The following is a 12,129-nucleotide window of genomic DNA, read 5'->3' as shown; positions in this document are numbered from 1 at the left end:
CTCATGTTTTACCAGCAACCTTCTCCTTTGAGATGCCAGCCATTTGGCTGCAATGCCATCGACCCCTTTTCATTGCTGCCATTCTCCAACTTCTGGTCCCTTTTCTTCACTCATTGAATATTGGCCTTGTAGTTCTTCAACCAAATTTCATTCCAGTGACCCTTACCTCTTCTCTGTTTCATCTCCCCATTGATAAGGCCACACTTTGGATGGTGTCAGCACTGGAACTTGAGGATCTTAGCCTCTGTGACACTCTCTGTTGACCCTTGTTATACTTCAAGCTTTTGTGCTCATTTTCCCACAAGCTATATGACTTTATGGAGTCCTGATCTCTAATCCTTTCATTCTTTTTCTTTTATTTTTCTGTGTCTATGAAATGATTGATTATCCTAACTCTATCTTACCAGCATCTTCAGTTCTCATACATCCCTGTCTTCCCGTTGTGCCCCTCAGCCATACTCTCAACCCTGAATTAGTGCTTTCATGACAAGTGCAGCCATGTGCTGGTATAGACTCACACACCTAGGTAAAGTTGTCACTAAAAATTGTTCTGAATTATTTGTCCTTTGTCAGTTTCTTTAGTCCTCAGGCCCTCTTCTGAACCATTGTCCCTTCTTTCTTAGAGGATGATGTCATTTCTATGTAAGAAGATTGAAAATGTCAGGTATGAACAGCCTCAATTCCTGACCTCTTTTTCACACCCATTCTTACCCACAGGAGATTTTCTTTCTTTCTTTTATTTATTTATTTTTTTTTTTTGAGATGGAGTCTCACTCTTGTTGCCCAGGCTGGAGTGCAATGGCGCAATCTGGGCTCACTGCAACCTCCGCCTCCCAGGTTCAAGCAATTCTCCTGCCTCAACCTCCTAAGTAGCTGGGATTACAGGCACCTGCCACCACACCTGGCAAATTTTTATATTTTTAGTAGAGACAGGGTTTCACCTATTGGCCAGGCTGGTCTCTAACTTCTGACCTCAGGTGATCCACCCGCCTCAGCCTCCCAAAGTGCTGAGATTACAGGCGTGAGCCACCACACCTGGCCACCCACAGATTTTCTTTCTCCTATTCATGAATCTTTTGTTCTTCACTTCATCACATTTCCTCCCTTGTTTCCCAGAGATGCATACTATATATTGGAACATACCTAATGCTACCTCCAAGTAACCAGAAATCTACCTCGTATCTATATAGATTTGCCTATTTTGGTGTATTTCATGTAAATGCAGTCAACATTATTTGATCTCTTGTGTTTGGTTTCTTTCACTTAATGTAATGATTTTGAGGTTCATTCATGATGTAGCATGTATCAGTACTTCATTCCTTTTTTTTGCTGAACAGTATTCCATTGTATAGGTATGCCATGTTTTGTCTATCCATTCATCAGCTGATGGACATTTTGCTGATTCTAAATTCTGGATCTCACCTTTCTTCTCAAAACTTCTTTATCGTGACACCATTCTTTTCCTATTGATCATTTGTGACATTCCTTTCTGTTTCTTTCACTTTCCTTTGTTTGCCTCCACTTTTCCTTTACGTGTTGGCTTTCCTAGGATTTGGTCCATTATCCACATTTCTTCTTAATTTATACTTTATCTTGGTTTTAAATCTCAGGATTTCTGTGACCACCTGCACACTGACCTTCACTGGAATAGCATGCATATTTACTTAGTTGCCTCTTAAACATCTTTATCTGCTGTTGTCTTTTTTCCTGAACCTCAGCATGTCCATAATGAATTCATTTTCATTTCCCTCTAAACTTGGATCTATCTTTGTTCTTTATCCCATTTGGTGGCATCACCACCTCCTTTGTCACCTAAGCCACGGATGAATCCTCTGCTTTCACCCAGCCATTTGCTAAGTCCTGGTGATTTTCTTACTACTCTTGCTCTGGCTTAGGCTCTTATCTTCTACTGCCTCCACAGAGTAAATAAAAGAATCTCTTGTGCCTCTAATTTTTCTACTTTAAACCCATCTGCCACCTGGTTGCCAGAATAATCTGCTGAAAATACAGATATTAAAACTCTTGTATGATTTTTCATCAACTACGAAATAAGACCTGAGCTCGTTAATGTTGTATCTAAGGCTCTCTAAGATCTTGCTCCCTGTCTATTATTGGCTTCTGTCTTAACCACTTTCTGCCATAAGTGTGGTGCTCTGGCCACAACACTTGGCTGTTTCTATTCACAACACCACATTCTGCTTGATCCACACACATCTGGAGCTCTTTTCTTTGTTCAGGTATTCTTTATTTTTCCTGGGAACTAATGCACATACTGTGAACTTGTCTATTTTCCTTCAGATTTGCTTTCACTCTAGTCTGTTCATAACATTCTACTAAAGTAATCTTCCAGAAACCTCAACCTGATCATGTAATCCTCCTTCTTAGAATTCTTTATTGGCTTCTTGATGACTTAATGATTTGGGCCTTCCCACCCTGATTTCCTCTACTTTCCTGCCTTTCATCTCTCCATAAATATTTGAATGCCTCTTATTAGCTGACCTTTCCAACCTTATCACCTGTCTCTTCCCCTGGGCATGAATTAGATGTGTCATCCATAATTTCTTGACTTTGTCCTGCATTTTATGTGTCTCTGTGCCTTTGAGCAAGTTGTAGCCACTCTGCCTAAAATGGTTTTTACTACAAGCCTACCCTGTCTGCCTTGGTGTCTATTTTCTAATTTCTTTTTTAAAGTTCAGCACAGCTGTCATCTACTATGTTCCATAGGGTCTTAGAGATACTTCCATTTTAAGCATTCTCTTTAAATTTAATTGTAATTAATCCATTTTTATGTCTGTTTCCCTCATTATACCATAACCCTTTTAAGTCACACTTGGTCATTGTCTAAGCGTATTATAGAGTGTTTTTTTTTGTGTGTGTTTGTTGAATGAACCAGTGAATGAATGAAATGGAGAACAAAGTTTGCCTGCCTAGAGGTCAAACTTCATTAACATTGTACGTAAACCAACTTTGCCAAAGAGCCTGATGTTTGGGAACTGTAATCAATGCTAACTTTTAGAACATGCACTCTTTATCTGAAGTCCATGTTTCTATTTAAGAGGATTCTGATCCAGTTGAGTGTTTTAGCTTTTAATTCTGATCCTAATTCTGCTACTCATCGACTGTTTCCAGGGAAGTCTCATCAACTTTCTGAGCTTATTTCCTCATGTGTAATTGAAGGCACTCCCTGCTGTAATGCTTTGAATACTATAAAACACTATGTGAAGGTAGATGATATTAGACAGTTGACCAGATTTAAAATGGACTACTCTTGTTTCCTTTGCATTGTCCAAAGGACTGCTTATCACCTTTTCTGCTTGTTTCCTTACATAAAGTCCAGTCTTTATGGATGTACATTTATCAGTTACTTAAGTTACTTACATGAAGTTTAAGGTAAAAGCAGTTGTGCTTAGTGGATGATGCCCAATCTGGTAGTATAGAAAATGAGTCAAGTTTCTGTAATTAAACATGAAAGGGTCTAGTGAAATTATATTTATTCTTTGCCCATCTTGAATTTTAAGTACATTCAGGTGAAAAAAAAAAAGAAACAAAACTCAATAATTACAAAAGTTCAAGGCTTTTAATGGCTGGAAGGTGGGTAAAATTTGAGAATTTGTATTTATGTTGTCACATTTGTGGCCATTTTGCATTTTTTGTTATATTTTAAGTAGTGGAAAGTATTAGCAAATGATGAAAATATGACTCATCCATAATATTGGTAGTTAAATAACTATAATTGGCTTAGTAAACTTTTTTTGAAGAGTATATATTTCTAAAAGTGGATAACACTAATTTATCTAATCTGATAATGAAATGTTTTCCTAAACACAAGATAGCTTGTCATAAAAATCACTGAATCTTTTTTTTCCAAAATGTTCTAACATAGTTTTAGTTTTAGGATGAGACTGTAAAGTCAAAATAATTATTTTATGTTTTCTTTCTATTTTAAAGATTAAATGAATGAAATGAGAAATTTAGAAAAAAGAAGGGAAGGAATTAAAACTTGGGTAAATTACATAAAACTTCTGACTTCCATAAAATAAAATGTAATTAGAAGTTCAAAAGTGGCCTTTACAGAGGTGTCAGAGAATGGCAGCATTAAAGCGTTTTAAAGATCCAAGCTCCCTTCTCCCTTAGTTTCCTAACAAACTAAATACGGTATTTATGAGGAGAATCAATATTGTGAAATACTTGGGGAGCAGTGAGCTTTTAAGACCCATTCTTTTACCACAGATAGCCTCAGAATGGAGTATTGTTTTCAATTCTTATCGTATGTGGTGTTTTTCTATTTAAATATTGTCAGTGTCACTGTAGAGGTAAAATTACAATCATTTGAGTTCTCTGTTTCTGATTAGAACATTCTTTTGCTTTGGAGGAAACATTCCTGTTTGGTTTAACTATTCAGACTAATTTCCCCCCAGAATTACCTGTTTCCCCTTTCCCTTCCAGCGCCCAAGCATTGTGTTTTCACCAGGCTTGCTGTCTGCCCTGGATGACTAATCGTCATGGCACCTGGTGCATTCAGGCAGGCCTGTGCAGCGGAATCGTCATACCTAGTTATGTCTGCACACCTGATGTTTTATTAACCAGTATTGATTTTTTTTACCCTGGGGACTTTTTTCTTCCTGAAAAAAGGCAACCTTGCAGGAGTGAAAGGCATTGCAGGGGATGAATTTCTAATGAACTCCTTCTTTCCCTTTTTGTGACTCCTCTTTAATGTAGCTTCATATTTTAAGTGCCTGAACTGAAATTTCATTTTAAGCAATTCCATTTTGATAAATCCTTTTAAATCTTGACTTTCTGTAAGGTTATTTTTTAAAGATTGTGCTGCTTGACTGAAACACTTAGTAGTGCCTGTAAATTTGAGCGTTTCATTATGGGTTGCAATGAAGCATGCTCACATGCAATGAAATACAGAGAATTTTGGACTATTTGAGTAATGCTGAAATAAATAAAAAGGAAGAAAACTCTCATGTCATATTTCAGGTAGTCCTAAAGTTTCTTCTGGTTTACTTAAGGTTAGTTCAGAGAATTAAAGAAACAGTAGGACTTACGACATAAAATGAGTATTTTTTGACAGTTATTTTATAACACAAAAGGGTTTTTATTTTGCATGATAATATAAACATTAACACTCAACATTATATATTAACTTTTATAGAAGCATCCTAAAGCTAACTGATGGTATAAGTACACCTGAGATTTTCGGTCTCTCAATATGGCATGGATTTTCCATTCGAAAAAATAATTTGTTGTTTGTGTATGTGTGCAGCTTAAGCGATAGCACTGATTTACACATTTGCCATAAATTAGGGGGAGTTTCTGAATCATTCTTTTCTCACTTTGAGTTCAACTGTAGGTTGGTCGTGTTTTCACCGCTGCATTTAATTTACTGCCTCAGTCCATCAGGCATTGTGTATAGACTGCATACACACCATTAGTTGTCAGTAGATGAGGGTCCTCATGAGTCATTCTGACAGCTGGCTTGCACTATCACAATAAAATAGGCCCTGTTCTGTTATTTCCCAGAAGCTGGAAACAAGCCTTCTCCAAGGCATGCATATCTTTTGAGACATTGCAGATCATTTATGCATTAAGCATCTTGTCTTTAAAAATGGTTTTGTTACTACTTGTGTATTAATAGTATTATTAATTAATTAACTGGCCTCTTTGTTCTTCTTACAGTTTTTGGCATTGGGCACACATTATGGCAAGGTTTATTTACTTGATGTCCAGGGGAACATCACTCAGAAGTTTGATGTAGTAAGTATTCTGTATAAAATAATGTATGAGCTAAACTTCATGTTAAGTATTTGTGTTTTAGAATATTGGTTTACCAGTTTGTTTTAATAGCATAAAGAGGATCTTTATTAATTCAATCAGAGTGCTAAGAGTATAAATTTGAACTTTATAATATATTCTGAAAACTTAAAGGTGAACTTATAAAGAAAGGGGTCTAGATACATGCATTATATATTTTGACTGGGTATCTTTTATATGCAAACTCCATGTAAAAATCTATACATCTATTTAATTGCAAATTCTTTACTTAATTATAGTCATCTATTTGGCTTTAATTTCGGGCATTTAGAATACTCCTGTATTCTTTTAAAATTGTGACAATGTAGAATGTCTAGGTGAATTGTTGTTAAAAGAAAAAAATGCTGCTTTCTTAGTGAATAATAGTGCAAATTTACATACTCTGGAAGTTTGTGGAATCCTTAAAGTATGAACTCCCTCATTTAGTGACTAATTTCAGTTGTAAGTACATGCCCTGTCTTCTTGTTGAGATGCCAAATGTAATTGAAAATTGATTGATCACCTTGCTGGATCGGTTTCTCTCTTCTAAATATACAAAGCTAAAATATTTTATGTGACTGTTTTGCTGCTTGGACTGTTAGGGGATTATATTGATTGAAAGCAAAGAACCAGGCTTTCTTTTTTAATTGTGATTTGGAATCATTGAGGATGAAGGTACTATTGAATTTGAAGCTTGATTTTGGTGTGAAGGTGTACCTTAAAGGTGTCAAGAACTTCCATGGTTGTGTAAATATGACACAACCACTTGGTATGAAAAAGGTGATCATTTCAGGGGACAAATACTACTTTTTTGAAGAAAGCATCAGCACTTGTCAAAATATCCATCTATTGATATAGTTTAGAAAGGAGATTACAGTTTCTAAAGCTGACACGTTGTATGGGAAAGAAAAAGGGATGCCTTGTTTTGCTGAAAAGAAATGGAACCCTGGAACGAGGACAATCTTTGGAGCAACACAGACAGGGAATTATGTGCTCTAATCATACTCATGCATCAGGCAAATCCCTTTGAGGCAAGAGGAATATACTTTTGACCTTCCCTCTTCTACCCACTGGACACTGGACATGCATCTTGATGACCAAAACATTTGGTATTTCAGTTGCCATCCATTAAAATGTGTACCTGGTACTGGGCCAGGTGTCGTTTTTGTGGTGTTGTGCGTGCCCCCTCACCTTTAAAAAAGATTGACTGTGTGGTTTCTTACATTTCCTACTCCCATTAAATGAGTCCCTGACACTCTGTTTCTGTCTTTTTGATATTGAATAGAAATTGCAGTGTTTGCTTGCTAAGGTTCATGGACATATACCATTGGTTCCATTGCCAAAAGTCAGTCCTTGTATCTATTCAGTATAAACCTTCAGTTATATCTTCTTTCATGTCTGTTTTATGTCGAGTATATCCTACATCCATCCTCTTTCAGGTAATTTATAGTATCATCCATAAATTTGTCTAAATCTTTCTTCAGTTCTTTTTTCAGTCCTGACTATATGACATCTTTGAAAATTAAGCTCTCTATAGCTTTGCACCTTTTTTTGGCAAGGGAGGAAGATAGTTTGGTGCTATTTTTGTGTGTTTGTTTACCTTACTCAAGAAGGTGATAGTCTGTTTTTGAAAGTTCTCTTTAGGCCATGGCTTTTTCGTGATCATTGGCAGAATCTACTGAAGCCAAGCGTATGTCTGCCTAACGACCTGGCAGTTTGCACTCCTAAGTACATATTCAACAAAAATGCTTGCGATGCGTATGTCCACACACACACACACACACACACACACACACACACACACACACACAAACAGATTGTTAATAATAGCTTAATTCCTAATAGCCTCTAACTCAAATGTCCGTCAATAGTAGAATGGATAATTGTGGTGCATTCTTAGCAAATTAAAAAGAACAGCCTATTGATAGATTAATTTTATAGACTTAATGTTGAGCCAAAGAAGCCAGACCCAAATGTGTTCATGTTGTTTGATAACTTCTATATGGTGGTCAAGAAAAAGCAAAACTAAACTATAGCAATAGAGTTCAAATAATGGTTTGACCTGGGAGGGAGCACAGAAGAGTCTTCTGGAGTGCTGAAAATACTGTCTTGGTGGTTTTCTCATGATCTACATATGTAAAAATCACTAAGCTATCATTTGAGATCTTTGTACTTTATTCTATATAAGTTGTACCTCAGTAACACACACATACTTGCACAAGCACCTATACATGTGTACATGTCTTTGGTTGAGCTTGAGCAGTGCTCAAATTTTCCTTGTTTGTTGAAGCAACCCCTTTCTGCTACTCAATATTGAATAATACCTAATTGCCTAGGTTGACATCCTGTTCAGAGATCATTTTGTAAATGAATCGTGACACTGAGGTTATTCCCATGGCTGTATATTCTACAGTTACATAAGAAGGTTGACAGGATTCTGTTTTATACGGCCATCTTTTGTTGCTGAAGAATGACAACTGCTAGAGTGATACTTTATTATGTATATTAATACTCAGATTTCAGAATATTTGAAAGAATATTCAGCATATGTTAATTCAAATACTTTGGCCATAAATGGTTTTTTGAGATTATTTCTAGATATAGCTTTATGTTAACTCAAAACTTAATTGCTAAAGCAATTTTACTTAACTCAGAGTAAAATAACGTGACTTCAGAATTCTTATAAAATCTTAGATTCCTTTTAAATTCCCACGATATTTATGCCCATATAACCACATTAATCATAGTATAATCATGCGTCGTTTAACAGTGGGATGCATTCTGAGAAATGTGGCGTTAGGCAATTTTGTCATTGTGCAGACATCATAGCCTCTACTTACACAGACCTAGGTGGTACAGCCTACTGTACACTTAGGCTGTATGGTATAGCCTGTTGCTTCTAGACTACAAACCTGTACAGCATATTATTGTCCTGAATACCATAGGCAATTGGAACACAATGGCAAGTATTTGTGCATTTAAACATACCTAAATATAGAAATGATACCATAAAAATATGGTATAAAAGATGACAAATGATACATCTGTACAGGAGACTTATCATGAATGGAACTTACAGGACTGGAAGTTGTTCTGGGTGGGTCAGTGAATGAGCAGTGAGTGAATGTGAAGGCTTAGGACAGTAGTGTACACTACTGTAGACATTATAAACCCTGTACACTTAGGCTAAACTCAATTTATTTAAACATTTTCTTTCTCCACTAATACATTAGCCTTAGCTTACTGTAACTTTTTTACTTTATAAACTTTTTAATTTTAAAACTTTTGACTTTATAATAGCACACCTTAAAGCAAGCACATTGTACAGATGTACAAAATATTTCTTTATGTATTTATTCTATAAGCTCTTTTCTGTTTAGTTTTTTTTTTCTTTTTTACTTCTAAAACTTTTTGTTAAAAATGAAGATACAAACACACACATTAGCCTAGGCCTACCCAGGGCCAGGATCATCAATATCACTGTCTTCCACCTCCACATTTTGTCCTGCTGGAAGGCCTTCAGGGGTAGTAACGCACATGGAGCTGTCATCTCCTGTGATAACAATGCCTTCTTCTTGATACCTCCAGAAGGACCTGCCTGAGGCTGTTTTATGGGTAACTTCTTTTTTTATAAGTAGGAGGAATATATTCTAAATACCAATAAGAAATATAGTATAGTAAATACATAAGCCAGCAACATAGTCATTTATTGTCATTATCACGTATTATGTAGTACATAATTGTGTGTGCTAGACTTTATATGAGTGGCAGCTGACTAGGTTTGTTTACACTAGCATCATCACAGACACGTGAGTAACATGTTGTGCTGTGCTGTTACTAGGCTGCAGTGACACAGAGTGTTAGGAATTTTCCAGCTCCATTATAATCTTTTTTTATTTAAATGTTTAGGAAAAGATAGCTTGTAAAGCATTACAGTCTTATAGGACCACTGTAGTCTATGGTGTAAACCAAAAATAAAGTTCTAAGCTCCTCAGTCTACTGAATGGACTCCTCTTAGGATTCGTGAAAAACTAGTTCAGGCCATGACGGGAAGGGGGAGTCAGACATGCCTCATTATATTCTCTTCTTTTTGGAATTCAGGCACAACTGACCGGCATTAACATTAAGATACAGATCTTAAGACTGACAAAACAGACTCTTTGTAGTGTGAAAGGAAATAAGATACCAGATTCCAAACTGACTCTAATATAGCATCACATGACAGATAGCAAGCCCTGAAAGAAGTCAAAGTATTTTGCCCTAATATATATTTCTTTGGCATATTTTGAAATAGCTGTGCAAAGCTGTCTCTTTTGGGGAAAATTTACATTCTGTAGAGAATCCCCTTCCCTTTCCAGGTCTTTTTCTGATCCTGAAGAGAGTAGCTTAAAGGTCTGAATAGGAAACGTTTGCCGTATATTACCTCTAAGGGTGCCACCTATAAGACTTCTTCTACATAGTAAGAACCTTGGTCTTCACAACTCCTTATCGTAACCCAGGTACTCCTTTCTGCTGATTCTTTCTGCTGATAACTTAACTCTTTCAACCAGTTGCCAGTCAGAACATCTTTGAATCTACCTATGACCTGTAAACCATCCCTCTTTCCTCTCATCTCCTCTTTGAGTTGTCCCACCTTTCTGGACCAAACCAATATATACCTCACATGTATTGATTGATGTCTTATGTCACCCTAAAACATAAAATCAAGCTGTAACCCAACCACCTTGGGCACATGTTCTGAGGACCCCTTGAGGCTTTGTCATGGGTCATGGTCCTTACATTTGGCTCAGAATAAATCTCTTCGAGTATTTTACAATTTGGCTTTTTAGTCAACAGTGGGTATATGTGGTCTCTTGTTGACCAAAATGTTGTTATGTAGTGCATGACTGTAGTTACTTTTTCTTTAATAGCCTCCAATTTATTTAAGCATTTTAATTTAAAACTTGTTAATTAAGGGTACTTATGTTGAAGCAGTGATCAAATTATTGTGCCATGTCTCTGTTAAATATTTAGGAGCATTATGCCATGTGTTTTAAATATTTATTCCTTTAAGTGTGCTAGTGAGAGAGCAAACAACTTGCTGATCAAACATAAATTTCTACTGTTCACCTTTATGTGTTTTTCTTTCTTTGCTAGAAATAGAAAATGATGAGGTTTTGCTGTAAGGCACTATAGTAAGAGACATTATATAAATATTTATAAAATGGATGATTACAAAAAAAGGAGATTAAAACAAAACAGGAGCTTAGTGGCCATTTTGTGTTAAGATAAATATCAAATTTTTGAAATTAAACTCTTGAGGCAGAGGTGGGTTGATGATTCTCCTTGTCAGGTAGCAGAATCTATTGGTATTTCTATTCCTGTTTTTGATTTGAGATTAAACTAATGGACTGTATTCCTTAGTTGCTGATACCTTTCGTGTTCATGTGCTGATAAAAACCCAGACCTCTGTCCATCTAACCATTGTGTCTCTGAGAACATTTCACAGTTCTTTGTTACTTCCCACATCAAGTCCTAACTATCTAGCTAAGCATTCCAGACCCTGATCATTTGGTGAAACCCACCTTTCTAATCTTAGTTTTAATTTCTTCCCTCTCTAGTAATTTTTATCTGCTCACTACCTTCTAAATATTGCCATGGGCTTGCCTGTTTCTAAGCTTTTGATGACTTCTTTTCTCTCTAGAATACACTTCTGTGAATCTCCATTCTTTCTGCAAGGTACTTCCCCTGGATTGTAGCCCTGAGGTGTTTCCTTCCTGTAAACTCCTATATTACTACTATTTCACTTGTAGTGTGGCCCCTCATAGTGTCAGTACCAGCCTCACATTCCTATTTAACGTCTTGGAGGATAGTTGCCATGTCTCCTGGTATACTTCTCTCCTCTTCCCCACCCTTTCTCTTTTCTCTGCTGCCGTTTGGTATCCAGTAAGTATATATTGGCTGATAATATTGTTTTGAAACATAACCATGGAACTGGTGATTTTCTGTTACTACCTTTCAGGAGGCCTCTGGGAGCTGGTTCTCTGTTCTCCTGTGTATTATTCTACCTTCACTTGTCCATTGGATGTATAATTAGAAATTTTATACTGAGAGCTACTGTAGACTGAATTCTTCCCCACCTCCTAATTCATATGTTGAGGTCCTAACCCTCAATGTGATGGTATTTAGAATTGGGGACTTGGGGGGTAATTAAATTTAGATGAGGGCCAGGCATGGTGTAAACTCAGGAGGCTACGACAGGAGGGTCACTTGAGCCCAGGAGTTCTAGGCTGCAGTGAGTTATAATTGCACCACTGCACTCTCTAGCCTGGTTGACAGAGCAAGACTGTGTCT

General features: G+C 36.6%; 1 protein-coding gene across 3 annotated transcripts in view; it reads left to right on the top strand.

Moving 5' to 3' along the window:
• VPS41 (VPS41 subunit of HOPS complex) overlaps positions 1–12,129 on the top strand; it is a 186,218-nt gene that overhangs the window by 40,887 nt on the left and 133,202 nt on the right. For all 3 annotated transcript variants that reach the window (XR_007060008.1, NM_080631.4, NM_014396.4), the window contains exon 4: positions 5,683–5,760. Coding sequence is in view for 2 of the 3 variants with exons in the window: in NM_080631.4 (NP_542198.2) it covers positions 5,683–5,760 (78 nt within the window). In the remaining variant the exon portion in view is untranslated. The remainder of the gene's footprint in view (positions 1–5,682; positions 5,761–12,129) is intronic.

This window comes from Homo sapiens, chromosome 7 (genome assembly GCF_000001405.40).
Source record: "Homo sapiens chromosome 7, GRCh38.p14 Primary Assembly".
Lineage (NCBI taxonomy): Eukaryota > Metazoa > Chordata > Mammalia > Primates > Hominidae > Homo > Homo sapiens.
Note: the sequence above shows the minus strand (reverse complement) of the source record. Positions and strands in the feature narration are given on the sequence as shown.